The 13538-nt window shown below is 57.5% G+C and overlaps 1 protein-coding gene across 12 annotated transcripts in view, besides 9 other annotated features; it reads right to left on the bottom strand.

Annotated features, from left to right (window-relative positions):
* Positions 1–5396, bottom strand: part of NFATC1 (nuclear factor of activated T cells 1) — a 133394-nt gene extending 127998 nt beyond the window's left edge. For 6 of the 12 annotated variants that reach the window (NM_001278669.2, NM_006162.5, NM_001278670.2 and 3 more), the window contains exon 1: positions 4975–5396. In NM_001278669.2, coding sequence (NP_001265598.1) covers positions 4975–5101 — 127 coding nt within the window. In that variant the 5' untranslated portion in view covers positions 5102–5396. Of the gene's footprint in view, positions 1–846; positions 1028–4974 lie in introns of those variants that run through there. The other 6 variants (NM_172387.3, NM_172389.3, NM_001278672.2 and 3 more) reach the window with 1 other exon arrangement.
* Positions 799–1038: a silencer, noted in NCBI's record as "silent region_9574". NCBI's record gives its function as "represses an Ori minimal core promoter by ATAC-STARR-seq in GM12878 lymphoblastoid cells {active_cell/tissue: GM12878}" and the evidence as "EXISTENCE:reporter gene assay evidence [ECO:0000049][PMID:35858748]".
* Positions 1459–1658: a silencer, noted in NCBI's record as "silent region_9573". NCBI's record gives its function as "represses an Ori minimal core promoter by ATAC-STARR-seq in GM12878 lymphoblastoid cells {active_cell/tissue: GM12878}" and the evidence as "EXISTENCE:reporter gene assay evidence [ECO:0000049][PMID:35858748]".
* Positions 4457–5004: an enhancer, noted in NCBI's record as "H3K27ac-H3K4me1 hESC enhancer chr18:77156322-77156869 (GRCh37/hg19 assembly coordinates)". NCBI's record gives its function as "activates a minimal SCP1, AML or CMV promoter by ChIP-STARR-seq in naive H9 embryonic stem cells {active_cell/tissue: H9 hESC(naive)}" and the evidence as "EXISTENCE:reporter gene assay evidence [ECO:0000049][PMID:30033119]".
* Positions 4701–4800: a silencer, noted in NCBI's record as "silent region_9572". NCBI's record gives its function as "represses an Ori minimal core promoter by ATAC-STARR-seq in GM12878 lymphoblastoid cells {active_cell/tissue: GM12878}" and the evidence as "EXISTENCE:reporter gene assay evidence [ECO:0000049][PMID:35858748]".
* Positions 5161–5560: a silencer, noted in NCBI's record as "silent region_9571". NCBI's record gives its function as "represses an Ori minimal core promoter by ATAC-STARR-seq in GM12878 lymphoblastoid cells {active_cell/tissue: GM12878}" and the evidence as "EXISTENCE:reporter gene assay evidence [ECO:0000049][PMID:35858748]".
* Positions 6646–6765: an enhancer, noted in NCBI's record as "active region_13538". NCBI's record gives its function as "activates an Ori minimal core promoter by ATAC-STARR-seq in GM12878 lymphoblastoid cells {active_cell/tissue: GM12878}" and the evidence as "EXISTENCE:reporter gene assay evidence [ECO:0000049][PMID:35858748]".
* Positions 6986–7275: a silencer, noted in NCBI's record as "silent region_9570". NCBI's record gives its function as "represses an Ori minimal core promoter by ATAC-STARR-seq in GM12878 lymphoblastoid cells {active_cell/tissue: GM12878}" and the evidence as "EXISTENCE:reporter gene assay evidence [ECO:0000049][PMID:35858748]".
* Positions 7470–7994: an enhancer, noted in NCBI's record as "H3K27ac-H3K4me1 hESC enhancer chr18:77153332-77153856 (GRCh37/hg19 assembly coordinates)". NCBI's record gives its function as "activates a minimal SCP1, AML or CMV promoter by ChIP-STARR-seq in naive H9 embryonic stem cells {active_cell/tissue: H9 hESC(naive)}" and the evidence as "EXISTENCE:reporter gene assay evidence [ECO:0000049][PMID:30033119]".
* Positions 7995–8520: an enhancer, noted in NCBI's record as "H3K27ac-H3K4me1 hESC enhancer chr18:77152806-77153331 (GRCh37/hg19 assembly coordinates)". NCBI's record gives its function as "activates a minimal SCP1, AML or CMV promoter by ChIP-STARR-seq in naive H9 embryonic stem cells {active_cell/tissue: H9 hESC(naive)}" and the evidence as "EXISTENCE:reporter gene assay evidence [ECO:0000049][PMID:30033119]".

Genomic DNA, 13538 nt, shown 5'->3' with positions numbered 1-13538 from the left:
CCCTCATTACAGACTCGGCGGAGGTCCCTGCTTGCCAAGCTCCTCCGGCTTCACCTCCGCGCGGGGAGGGCAGACACGAGGCCTTGAGAATGGGCACAGACAGGGGCGGACGGTGACCAGCCTGGGGTGACCTGGACAGAAGAGATCCCGGGCAGCGGGAGAGGGGCCCAGGCCCAGGGGTGCCCACCCCACTCACTCGCTGCTCTTCGGGAGTGGGGAGTTATTTGTGGTTTGTTTACCTGAAACCCTTATTTCTGACACAGAGAAGAGAAAATGAAAGAAAAGGCTGGGGTCATGGTAGCTCCGGGTAAACTTGAAAGCTGGAGGCTTGGGGGGGTCTGCGGGGCGTGGGGAGACGGCGGCGGGGAGGGAGGGTGACTGTGGGGAGGAAGGGCCAGAAGGCGGCGGCAGGGGCGGGAGGTCAGGGGGAGGGTGGCTGGGGGGAGGGAGGAGGATGGCTGAGGCGGAGGTCGGGGGGCGGGTGGGGGGGGGGTCGGGGGGTCGGGGAGGTCGGGAGGGCGGGACGCGGGGCGGGGAGAGGGTGTCTGGGGGAGCTGGGGCTTCTCCGCCTCTGGCAGCGCCACCAGCCCTCTGTCCGGGACCACTTCGTCCACGCCCGTGTCCGGGCTGCGCTCTTCCCCCAGGACCCCGCCGCGAGCGCTCGGAGGAACCGCATCCGAGCCCAGGACGCCCCGCACTGCAGCGTCCCCCGCCGTAGCCCCTCGGTCCCGGGCGCGCCGGGGACTCCTGGGGTCCCCGGGGAGCGACGAGGACGCGGAGGGGGCCTGGGCGCCCCCAAACCCCGACCTGGCCCCGCGCCCCCCGCGCCCTCCGGGACTGACCCACCTGGGGCGGCCGCGGCGGCGCCCTCGTCGCGCTGGTTAAACTCGAAGAGGAACTCGAAGTCGAACTCCTGGTCCTCCAGCCCCGTCATGGCGGGTCGGGCCGGGGCCGGGGCGGGAGCCGGGGTCGCGGCCGCCAGGGGTTCGGTTCTCCCGGCGCTGCCCGCGCGTCCTCCGCGTAACGTGACCCCCGCCCCTCCCCCCGTCCCCGCCCCGCCCCCGCCCCCCGGGGCGTTTCCGGGTTTACATAAACAACCGGCTCGCGGCCGCCGGCTTCCGAGTTTTAAATAAACTCCCCGGACACGAGTTTTTAAATAAACTCGTGTCCCCCCCGCCCCCGCCCCCTCGCGCGCGCGCGACCGCAGGGGTCCCCCGGCCTCTTGTGCCCTGGGGGTCCCGGCCCGGCGCAGGCTCCTCCGGACCCGGGGGTAGGGGCGTCGGGACCCCACGAGCGGCACCAGGTACCTAAGGCTGCGCCCAGGGCGACGGAATTTTTTTTTTAAGTTTTTTTTTTAAAGAAGTTTTCAATCCGGGCCTCCTCGGGAAAGCGGCTGCAACGGTGACCCCCGAGCGCCACGTGCGCGCCCTGCGGAGCCCCGGGAGTGGGGAGGTCCCAGCCCGAGGCCGCCAACGCTAGGAACCCCGATTTCAGCCCGACGGTGCCGGGAAGCGCAGGGATTCCCGCTGGGTTCGTGGCGCGCCCCTCGGCCTGCAACCCCCTGCAGGAGGCCCGGCACCCACCGGCCTCTCCTGCGAGTCCCCAGCCTCCAAACACCCGCCCTGCGCGCCCCCGCCCCGCGGGAAACCCGCCGGTCCTTCTAGGGGCACCTCCAAAGATGACCTCCTTGAGCGGGGCGGGAAGGCGAGTTCGGGTCCCACCCTAGGCGGCCCGAGCCTGTGCGCGGCGGGGATCCGGAAAGCCGGGCTGCTTAGCTGAGGCCGCCCTGGGCCTGCCTCTCCCGCCGCGTGTTCTAACTTCCCCCGGGCTCTCCGCACCATATACACCCGACATGTGGAATAGTAGGAGGATGGTGGGAGTCTGAGGGCGGAGGGGAGCCGGCCCGGGCGGAGGGGTGCGCGTGTCAAGGCTGGCAACCCCAAAGCTCCTCGGAGCGCTCCCTCTGGCCTGCCCCGCGGGCACTGCCTTTTCCAGAGGCGAGAAACCCTCCAGTCCCAGGGTCGTCCCCGGGCTTCTCCCGCGACCCTTTCACTGGCTGGTTTTCTCCAGTGATAAGCCATCGTTCCGTGTGGCCTGATTTAGTTTCTAATAATACTTCTGACTTTGGGATGGATGTTGGAGCGTTGTTTTGTTGTAGTTTTGCTGCTTTTGCCGACCTTGGGCAAGTGGAAGTTCTGTTTTCTGTTGAGAAGCCACAACGTTTCATTCTCTTTCCATTGTACAGGTTTTTGTTTGTTTGAGACGGAGTCTCGCTCTGTCACCCAGGCTGGAGTGCAGTGGTGCAATCTCTGCTCACTGCAACCTCCGCCTTCCGAGTTCAAGCGATTCTCCTGCCTCAGCCTCCAGAGTAGCTGGGACTACAGGCACCCGCCACCACTCTCAGCTAATTTTTGTAGTTTTAGTAGAGACGGGGTTTCACCATGTTGACCAGGATGGTCTCGATCTCTTGACCTCGTGATCCGCTTGCCTCGGCCTCCCAAAGTGCTGGGATTACAGGCGTGAGCCGCGGCGCCCGGCCTGTACATTGTTTTTAAAACTCCAGCCACCTTTTTACCCCCACCATAAAATTATACACAAATGACAGCCCTTATCATCTGTTTAGACTAAAACTTTTTGCTAAACTGTCCCGCCTGCTGGTGGCCCCAGGCCGCGGGCCCTGCAGGGATGGAGGCTCACTGCTGCTGTCCTAGGACTGCACTGGTCTCCATCCCAGAGAAGGGGTCGGTGGGGCGGCTCCCCTGCTGCTCCTAGGAGCCCCCCCTTCCCCCGCCCCAGTGCTGGGCTTCCTTCCTGCAAATGGTTCAGAGCTATTGGTCCAGATTCAAAGCTGCCCGTTCCACAGACACTGGGTGTCTCCATGGAAATGTTTAGCTTGGACGCATCCTCCCAGAGGCTGGGGATGTCTGCGGAGACAGAAGCCCCGCTGGGTGTGATGAAGCGGGGTGCCAGCGCCCTGCCATTTTCTAATCTGAGCTGGGAAACAACGCTGTGAAGTTAAGTGGCAGAGAACAGGGTGAGCTTTGTTTGGCCCCAGCCCGTGGGGCATTGTGTCTGGAGCGACTTCTGACTGGGTGGCTACTTACAGGCCTGTACTTCTCTGCGTTCTCCATGAGGAAGCAAGCCCGGGGCCTTCAGGAACCACGACGCCTAATGAGCTTCCACCCAGATGGTCCCGAAACCCGAGGGACGCAGGGGAGGCGCCCAGGTCCTCAGATGGGCCAGGAATGGCCTCGTGGGGCCTACTCAGAAGGACTCAGAGTTCTTCCCGGTGGTCTCAGCGATGGCTGGTGTGGAAACCACGCGTGTCCCCATGCTGCCGGCCTGTGTGTATCAAGGACTAGATCACACTTTCCGGCTGGCCCAGTTCTGCAGCCCTCATAAAATACACCCATGTCGGTCGGGCGTCGCTGCCCGGCGCACTGCCTTGCAGCAGGGACCTTTTCGAGCTTATTTTCTTCAGTAGGAAACACGAAAACTAGCCACTGCCCCGTCGTGTTTTTTCCTTGCGTAAAAGAAAGGGGCTCCTTACTACAGGTCGGCCACCGGCTCTTCAGGTACAGAGATCTGAACTTGGAAAGACCTGCCTTTCTAAAGGGAGTGATAATGAACACTGCGGCGTAAGTGTCCCAGGATTTAAAACCGAAACTCCAACAAAAAAAAATTTTTTAAACTCTGCTACTAGCAAGAGCACATTGTGTAAAACACTGACACGGGACATGGTTTAAACATGTCAACATTTTCTAACATTGGGATGAAGTGGTGTCTACCTCCCGTCCCGTGAAGCGTCAGGGCACCGACCACACGGACCCCCCTCCGTGGAGCTCACGGCCCTGTGCTCAGCTCTGCTAAGACCAGCGAGTTTTCCAGAGCTGGGGGAGCCCGGTTCTCAAGCAAGCCCCGCAGTTATCAGGGTCGCGCAGGAAGCGGCAGCGCTCGGAAGGACGTCTGCCCTTATGAAGTACATATGTTGGCAGGTGTGCTGGCGCTCTTTAAATAAATTATATAAAATATTTCAGAGCTGGTAAGGAATTTGGAAAAGCGTCTTCCAATTTCCATTAGCATTGCAATCCCTAATCCCTAACTCGTATGCTCACACCTCTGCAAGGGTATTTTCAAAGCCACTTGCAGGAGCCCACCCGGCATCGCCAGGGGTGTGTGCCGGGGACGGGCTAAGGTGGGGGACTGGAATGTGAGATGCGCCGCAGGGGGGTCTCAGCGCCCCCCACACCGGGTTTCAGGGACCCACACTGTGCCATCTTTTTTTCACTATAAAGAAGCAGCTCGAAACTTGGCGGTTCCTTTTCAAACTTGCCTGAAACATCTTCTCTGGCTGGAACTCCTGCCTATAGGATTTCAAAATGGCTTAAATTCGGGGCTGTGCTGCGGCCGCGCTTTGGATCTTTTGGTCCTGCAGGTCCAGGAGCCGGCGTGACGGGCTCGGCCCTGGGGAATTCAGGGGCGCGGCGCGAGGGAGACGCCGCCACGAGCTCGGGGTGGGGGTGGGGGGCGCAGAACCCCCAAACCGCGATCTTGGCGCCAGAGGGTGGCTCTGCCTCGCTCAGGAAGACACGGGGCATCCTTCACTCCCAAGGAAGCCTCCCTTCCTCCCTCCCACGTGCCCTCTGTGGTCCTGACGGCCCAGCCTCGCCCGTCCCCAAATCGCCGGCCTGCGAGCCGCTTCCTCGGCGGGACCCGCGGCGGCCTCGCCTCGCGCCCTCAGCGCTGGGGCAGAGGAGACACCTATTGGCAGAAGGCGCGCTCGGAACCGGGCTGCTGGGAGCTGGGGGACGCCGTTCCCGGTCCGCGCCGCGCCCCTCCCTGGGCGCACAGACCCGGCCGACCTCGTTCTCTGGCCCGGACCCCTCCGTGCGGGCGACGGGGGCGGGGTCGGGGGGCGCGGCCCGGGCCGTGGGGGGCGCAGGGGTCCGGGGGCGGAGGCCGCGCGGGGCTTACCTTCCTCCGCTGACTTCATGGTGCCGCCGGCGCGCGGCGCGGGCCCCAAAGTTTCTCCTCTCCCGAAGACCGCAGCCGCAGGGCCAAGTGGAAACTTGGAAGGGACTGGAAAGCTGGTGCTTGGCATCCGCGCGGCGGCGGCGGGGAGTGGAGCGGCGGGCGGAGGCACAGGAGAAGCGGCCGCCCCGCGCTGCCGGGGTCGGGTCTCCGGGAAGACAGCCCTCGCCCCGGGCTCAGCGCCGCGCGCCCCGGAGGAAAGTCATCGAGGGGCGTGTGCGCGCGTGGCGGGGCCCGGCCGCGGCCCTAGGACCTGCGCGGTGGCTCCGAGCCCTGCCCGCGCCCCGGTGCCCGCGCCCTGCTGCTGGGATCTGGCGCGGCGACTCCGCCGGCGAGTTCGGAGCCTCTGAGTCTCGCTCTGACGCAGGGCCGCGCTCTGCCTCCTGCCTTTTTAAAGCTGGAAAACACCTCCCCCGCCTCCCCGCCGGCCCGGCGGCTCCCGCGCCCCCTCCCTGCCGTGACATCACGCCCCTGCTGCCCGGGCCCGCGCGGGGCCCCGGGGACGAGTCGCCGAGCGCCCGCCCCTCCCCGCGCCGCGGCAGCCGCTCGCCTGGGGGCAGGGGCGCAAGAGGCGGGGCGCGCACGGGGAGGGGGGGCGCACGGGGAGGGGGGGGCGCACGGGGAGGGGGGGCGCCCGGGGAGGGGGGCGCCCGGGGAGGGGGGGCGCACGGGGAGGGGGGCGCACGGGGAGGGGGGGCGCACGGGGAGGGGGGCGCACGGGGAGGGGCGCACGGGGAGGGGATGGGGGCGTAGGGGCGGGAACGGGGAATCCGGGGGCCGGGCAGGGGGGCGCTGGGGCTGGCGGGGGAAACGGGGGCGAACGGGCCAGACGGGACGCCTGAGTCCACGCGGGTGTCCGGAGGGAGCCCGGCCCTGCTGGAAAAGGGGCGGGGGGCGGGGGCCGGGGGCCGGGGAGGGGTGTCGAGAAAGCCCGGCATGCTGAAGTCATTATGTAAAATCGCAGGCTTCCCCCGCTGTGGAAATTTGGAAAAGCGCTTCACTGGCAGGCCCTAGAAAGGAAATTCCCATCCCGCTAAATTACTAACAGATTGCGTGGCCGTCCCGGGACGTCGAGTTATTGTCATTTTTATTCTGTAAATATCTGCTCGACCTAGACGGCCTGTGGCAGGGGCCGGCGTGGGGAGGCCCGGGGACGCGCTCACCTGCCCTAGCCGCCCGGAGGGGGCGTTTTATGGGCGCGACTGCGCGACTTCTGACGGGGGGAGGCCCCCCGGCCACTCACACTTTCCTCTCTTACGTCTCCCTGCGTCTCTTCGGGCGCAGCTCAGCTGCCAACACGGCACCGCATTTTCTTGTTGGCTTTGGATGGGGGGGGTTGGAGGTTAAAGTGTCTGGTGTGTAGAAACCATAAATCGATTGCACGACACCCTTATGTGATTTAAACTAAACCCAAAGGCTAAACTCGTGTCTGCTGCGGGGCCCAGGAGGTCCGCAGACCCCCAGGGATCACTGTGCCCCGTGGGTGCCCCCCACAAGCGCCTCCTCCCTGCCGGGGGAGGCGGTCGGGCGCTGCAGAGCCCGCGAAGGTGCGCGGCCAGAGCCCGTCCGTCCCGCGTCCCGAGGCCTGGCTCCATTCGGCCGCCCCGACTCAGCACAAATGGAACCCCGGCTTTTCCACCGCAGGCCTCGGCCTGGAGAGACGTGCCCGGATTAGCGGGGTGGTGGCCGCCTCGCTCCTGCGGCGTCGAGGCCATTTCCAGGGGTCTCTACCTGCGGGGGCCCCTACGGCGCCGAGCCAGGCGTGGCACGCGCCCCAGAGCACCGGGCGCCGGGAGGGGAGGAGGGGCCGCGGGAGGACGCCCAGGCCGGTGGGCGGGGGTCGGGGGGTCAGGGGGACTCCAGCGAGGCCGCGCCCCCACGCCCCTCCCCCTCCCCTCCCCTCCAAATCTTCCCGCCGCGAGTGTCCCCAGGCCTGGGGCCAGGATTTGGCGGGGAGAGTTTCCGTCCCCCCCGCCCCGCCCTCCTTCTCCCCACCTCCAGGACGGGGCGGGCGGAGACTCGCCGGGAGGAGGGAATCCCGAGGCCGGGTCTGGCGGGGCGCGCCCAGCCGGTCACGTGGGAGACTGAGCCCCTCGACCCCAGCCGCGGTCCTCGAGCCCGGGACCGACCTGGCGAGGCTGCCCTTGGCTCCTGAGGAGCCGGGGCCGGGGCGGGGGCGGCCGGCTCTTCCTCCTCCTCCCGCCCCTCCCCTTCCTCCGCTGCCGCCTCCTCCTCCTTCAATAAATAATTTTTTCACCCCATGCAGAAAAGCTCCCTTTTCCTGTCTGCTCTCAAAGCCGTCCTTATCCCCCCGCCCGGGTGACGGAATCCCGGGTCTGTTTCCCTCTGTTTAATGCCGTTGCCGGGACCACGGTGGCCGCGCGCCAGGCGCAGGGAGTTCCGGAGGCGGCGGCCCAGAGCGCGGCCAGCTCGCCCGGCCTCTGCGCCCCGGCCCGGCCTCTGCGGCCACCGCGGGCCCCCGGCTCTGCTCCCCGAGCGCCCTGCGCCCCTTTCCTCTTCCTCCTGCCTCCTCGTAGGTTTGTTTATAGCCGCTACTAGGGGAGACGTTACACGGGTTTTATTTTAGGATTGGTGATGACTAACAAAGTTAAAAGGAGCTTAGGACAGAAAACAAGACTATTTTTAGATGACTGTTGTTTCTATGGATTATTGGGGGCAAAGACACCCCTAGAAGCTTACCGTTTTAAAAGCCCCTTGGGGTGCCAAATCCCTTCTCCTGGAGCGCACTTGGGTGTTCATCCACCCCGTCCAATATTTTCTAGAGCCTGGGCGGTCACTGTTGCTGGGGCTTCCTGGCGTCATGTGTGAGCACCAGGGCTATGAGACGCCATCCTGGCAGATGCGGGCGTCTCCAGCGCGGGCCGGGCCGGAGCTGCCCCGAAGCTCAACGCTCCATCCCGTCCCGTCTTCGGAGGGTGGGTGCCACCTGCCCCGCGTGGGGCTTTCCATCCTCAGGGGCGCTCGGCACACGCGGTGCCGCGTGGGGCTACCTGGCAGGTGCGCCAGCCAGGGGCAGGTGCGCCCACCCTTTCCTCCCCCTACTGAACCGCAGGCCAGATGCCACTTCCTGCTCGGGAAAATCACTTAATACGACTGTGTTCTGTTCCTGCGAATGTTCTGTTCCTGCAGTTTTGCATTCTGGCCCACAGCGGTGGTCACTTGAGAGCTTTTCCCATCAGGGGTCTTTGAGGTTTTGACTCAACTCAGAATCCACCCCCTTCTTCCTGAGGCACCTTCCAACCAACAGGGAAGGGCCCCCACGATGTCCAGAGACTCTTGAGACCATCTGGAGAAATGGGCATTTATTTAGCCAGGGTCTGGAGACTAGGATTAAATTAGCAAACCAGAATTATAGAAAAAGCTATTTACTTTTAAGTAAACTGAGATTTTTTTTTTTAAGTCAGTGTGAATGAACCTCACAGCCATGGTTGGAGCTGAGAAAGAAGGATTTCCCTTTAGTTATACACCCGTGTCAGCACCTTCTGACTTTCCTTCTAAAGTCTGGGGTGTTCCTGAGGACCCATACATTTGGGGTTCAGAGTTTCTATACCATGCTGTTACTTATGAAACATCTCTTTAACCACGCCCCTTCCCTGGAGGGTTGCTAAGGGCTTCATAGGTTTCCCTGTCTAAACTCTTAGCATGAACACCCACCTCATGGACTACCACCATGTCTAAAAACTCAGATCACCAATGGATCAGTCAACTTTCCTACCCTAGACGTGTGTCCAGGGCATTAGGATCAAGGCCAAACTGCTCAGCACGGCACCTGATACCCTTCAGCCCCACGTCCCCTCCCGGAGTGGCCAGGCAGGAACCTCCCCACCTAAAAGCCACTCGCAGTCATTCTCACCCACTCCAGGACTTTGGAGTCATCTCTCCCCAACGCCATTCAGTCAATCCCCAAGTGCTTGCTGGACCCCGGTCCCCTCTCCTCCCTCTGCCCAGGATCCTGATTCTTTTTTTCTGCTCTGTCTTGCAGGCTGGAGTGCAGCGGCATGAACAGGGCTCCCTGCAGCCCCAACTTCCTGGGCCCAAGTGATCCTCATGCCTCAGCCTTCTGAGTAGCTGGGACTACAGGCACATGTCACCACACCTGGCTAATTTATTTCTAATTTTTGTTGTTGTTGAGATGAGGTCTTGCTATGTTGCTCAGGCTGGTCTTAAACTCCTGGGCAACTCTGGGACATGGTTAAAGAGATGTTTCACAAGTAACAGCATGCTGTAGAAACCCTGAACCCCAAACTTACGGATCCTCAGGAACACCCCAGACTTTAGAAGGAAAGTCAGAAGGTGCTGACACAGGTGCATAACTAAAGGGAAATCCTTCTTTCTCAGCTCCAACCATGGCTGTGAGCTTCATTCACACTGACTTAAAAAAAAAAATCTCAGCTGTTTACTTAAAAGTAAATAGCTTTTTCTATAATTCTGGTTTGCTAATTTAATTCTAATCTCCAGACTCTGGCAAAATACATGCTCACTTTTTTTTTCTTTTTCTTTCTTTCTTTTTTTTTTTTTTTTTTTTTGAGACGGAGTCTCGCTCTGTTGCCCAGGCTGGGGTGCAATGGTGTGATCTCCACTCACTGCAACCTCCACCTCCCGGGTTCAAGTGATTCTCCTGCCTCAGCCTCCCAAGTAGCTGGGATTACAGGTGTGCGCCACCACGCCCGGCTAATTTTTGTACTTTTAGTAGAGACGGGGTTTCACCATGTTGGTCAGGCTGGTCTTGAGCTTCTGACCTCTTGATCCGCCCGCCTAAGCCTCCCAAAGTGCTGGATTACTGGCGTGAGCCACCGCGCCCAGTGGATAAGTGCTCATTTCTTGAACTCCTGAGCTCAAAAGATCCTTGTGCCTCAGCCTTCTAAAGTGCTGGGATTACAGTCATGAGCCACTGCACCCAGTCCTGAGGGCCTCTTTGACAACTCTCTGCTTGCCTCCTCCGAAGGCCCTAGTGTGGTGGTTAAAAGAGAGGCCTCTGGCCTCAAACCACCTGAGTTTGTTTGATGGCCTAGAACATGGCCCATCCTGGAGGATGTTACTTGTGCGCTTGAGAAGAATGTGTATTCTGCTGTCGTTGGGTGGAGTGTGCTAGCTATAGATATCTGGTAGGTCTAATTGGTTTATACTGTTGTTCAGGCCTTCTGTTGCCTTGTTATCTGCCTGGTTGTTGTATCCATTATTGAAAGTGGAGTATCGAAGTCCCCATTCTCTGTTGTAGAACTGCTTCTCCCCTCATTCTGTGAGTTTTTGCTTCATAGATTTTGGAGCTCTCTTATTAGCTGCACGTATGTTTATCATTGTTGTATCTTTCTCACAGATTAGTGCTTTTATCATTACGAAACATTCCTCTTTAATAAAACCTTTTTTAAAAAGCCTATTTTGTCTAACATTAGCAGCCACTCCAGCTTTCCTGAAGTCGCTGTTGGTGTGTCGTCTTTTCCCATCGTTGTAGTCTATGTGTGTAGCTTTGAGTAGAAAGTATGTCTCCTCTAGACGGCATAAAGTTGGGTCATGTTTTCTTAATTCAGTCTGACAGCCTTTGCTTTCTGATTGGTTGTTAAATCCACTCACATTTAATGTTATTATTGAACTTTACTTTTCATTTCTATTCCACTTTACTTTTCATTTTCTATTTTTCTTATGTCTTCCCCTCATTTATTTCTTTATTGACTTCTTTGCATTAAGTGAATTATTTTCTACTGAGTTTTTAAACTTTTTTTGTTACTGTTTTAGTGATTGCTCTAGTATGTACCATATACATTTCGACTCCAGTGACACACAAAAACACTATCCCTATGTAGCTAGCTCCATTCCCTTCCCGCTTTTATACATTCTACATTGTAAACAGTAATGTTACAAACCTAAGAATACATTGTGATAACCATTATTTTACCATCTGTAGTTATTTCTTTAGTCCAATATAGCTTTGTTCTCATTCCCTTTCTTTGTATTGTTATTAGCAATACACTACACATATATTACATTGCTATAAGTTATAGGCCCAACATTATATTTTATATACATTATTTTATACAATCACTTTTCACACCAGTTATAAAAAGAGAAAAATATGTATTCGTACTGTCTTATGAAATTACGTAATTACCTTAAGAGGCACTCTGTTTTTTTCATGTGATTTCAAATTACTGTCTGAAGTTTCTTGCTCACTGCCTGAAGAACTTCCTTTAGTATTTTTTGTAAGGTGGGTCAGCTGGCAACAAACTCTCAGTTTGTCGGAAAAAGTCTTTATTTCACCTTCATTCTTGAAAGAAAGCTCTGCTGCGCATAGGATTTGGGATTGATAGGTTTCCTTCCTCCCTCCCTGCCTCCCTCTGCCTCCCCCTCCTTTCCCCTCCCCTCTCCTCCTCTCTCCTTTCCTTTGGCTGTTATCCCACTGCCTCAGGCTCACATCGTTGCCGCTTAGAAGTCACTTGTTAGCCTTATTGGGGTTCCCTTGTAAGTGATACCTTATTTTATTATTTTGGCTTTTGAGATTTTCTCCTTATTATTGACTTTCAGCATTTTTACTCATAATGTGTTGGTCTGTGGGCCTCTCTAGGCTTGCCCCAGTTGGAGTTCATTGAGATTCCTGGTTTTGTAGGTTATTTTTTTAAACTAATCTGCGATATTTTCAACCATTATTTCTTTTAATATTTTTGCATCCCTTTTTTCCTCTTTCCTTTCCTTCTAGTGAACCCCCTGTGTGGGCTGGTGCCCTGGAGGGCGTCCCTGGTGCCCCTCAGCTCTCCGAGGCTCCCCTTGGTCTCCTTCATTCTATCTGCTCTCTGTTCGGGGCTTGCATACTCTCTACTGATGTATCTTCAAATTCACTTTCTTTCTTCTGCCAGTTCAAATCGATTGTTGAGCCCCAATAGTGAATGGTTCACTTCAGTGACTGCGCCTTCCAACTCCTGAATTTCCACTGGTTATTTTTTATACATTCTATCAACAGTCTCTACGTGATGTGACATTGTCGTCCTGCTTCCTTTAATCAAGATTTACTTTAGTTCTCTGAGCATATAAGGGATATTTTGGCCTTTTCCCATTAAATCCAATATCTGGTCATTCCCCAGGCAGTTTCTGTTGTCTGCTTTTTAAAAAATTTAAATGTGGGGGTCATACTCTTGTGTTTCTTTGCATGCCTCCTATTTTGTTGGAAACTGGGCATTTTAGACAATGTATTATAGCAGCTCTGGATACTGGTCCCCCTGTGTGGGGCTTGTTATTTGCTTATTTACTTGTCTTGTGACTTCTGAGATGACTGCAGTGAAGCTATTCCACACACTGCCCCCTCCACCAGTAGAGTTATGCCTCTGGCTTGCTCCTTAGGGAGAGGAGTCTTACCTGTGCCCAGAGTCACCCTGGAATGCAGGATTTTGAGAGCGATCTCTTCCTCTCTTTCCCCGACCACATTGATAGAGATCTCTTCCTCTCTTTCCCCGACCACATTGATAGAGATCTCTTCCTCTCTTTCCCTGACCATACCCAGCTGTTAAATTCCACGGCTGCCATTGGATTGCTCTATTGTTTTTAACAATATCTGGAGGCATAAATTACTCTACAAACTACTCCAATTAAATAGTGCCTTCTTTGAAGCAAGAGTTTCTGATGTCCATGTGTGATATTTGTTTTGACCCCTGGAGGCCCCTCACAGCTATCACATTCCTAAATCTAGGCTAAATCTTCATTAAATCCATGAATGTCCCAAATGCCATTGATGACAACCTCCATGTTTTCGAGGGGACCCTAAGCTTTCACCTTCTCCCATGTTCTGCTGAAAATGAAGTCGTTTCTTTTGGGAGGAGATTAGAAGCTATCTCTTTTACTTACTGCTTCTCACTCCAGGCAAAATCTCTGAGCCAATGCTTTGGAGCTGGGGATGGGGACAGTGCCGAGCCTCAGTGTGAGTGACGCCTCCACCTCCAGGAGTTGAGTGCTGACGGGGGCAGCATCCTGAGACCCCACTGGCCTCCCCTGGCCTGGAATCACTGCCCTGTCAGCGGGGGCAAGGGTAGTTGCACCCTGTCTTCTCAGTGAGCCACACCCAAGGCCCAGCCTCCCACCCATGAGTGTGGGGACCGGGAAGAAGGGAGCCCCCACCCCTCCACCAGACTCCCCAGGACCTAGCAGCCCCAGCAACAGGCAGATGGGGCAGGATGAGAAACACCGACATCCCGCCCTCCCAGAGTCACTCTCCCCCACCCACCTGTGTCCTCAGCTGCAGCAGACCTGCTGGTGGAGTGGCAGGGGGAGGGGAGGAGGGGGTGGCTTTGGTTCAAATATCAAATACATTCACCTTTCCTAGTAAAGATGGTTTTTTAAAAAATCAGGTCTTTTTCAATAGATGTGTCTTCACTTGCTGCGTGTCCTTAGGACCATTTCCAGAGACTGTCAATGGCTGGGGGTTTTTAACTTGACCAGTTTCCCGGGGACGGGTTCACAGAGCACGTCAGCTCTCGTGTGAGAAGGCGCTTGCCCACAGCCCG

This window comes from Homo sapiens, chromosome 18, assembly GCF_000001405.40.
Source record: "Homo sapiens chromosome 18, GRCh38.p14 Primary Assembly".
NCBI lineage: Eukaryota > Metazoa > Chordata > Mammalia > Primates > Hominidae > Homo > Homo sapiens.
The sequence above is the reverse complement of the archived record's forward strand: the minus strand, read 5'-3'. Positions and strand labels throughout refer to the sequence as shown.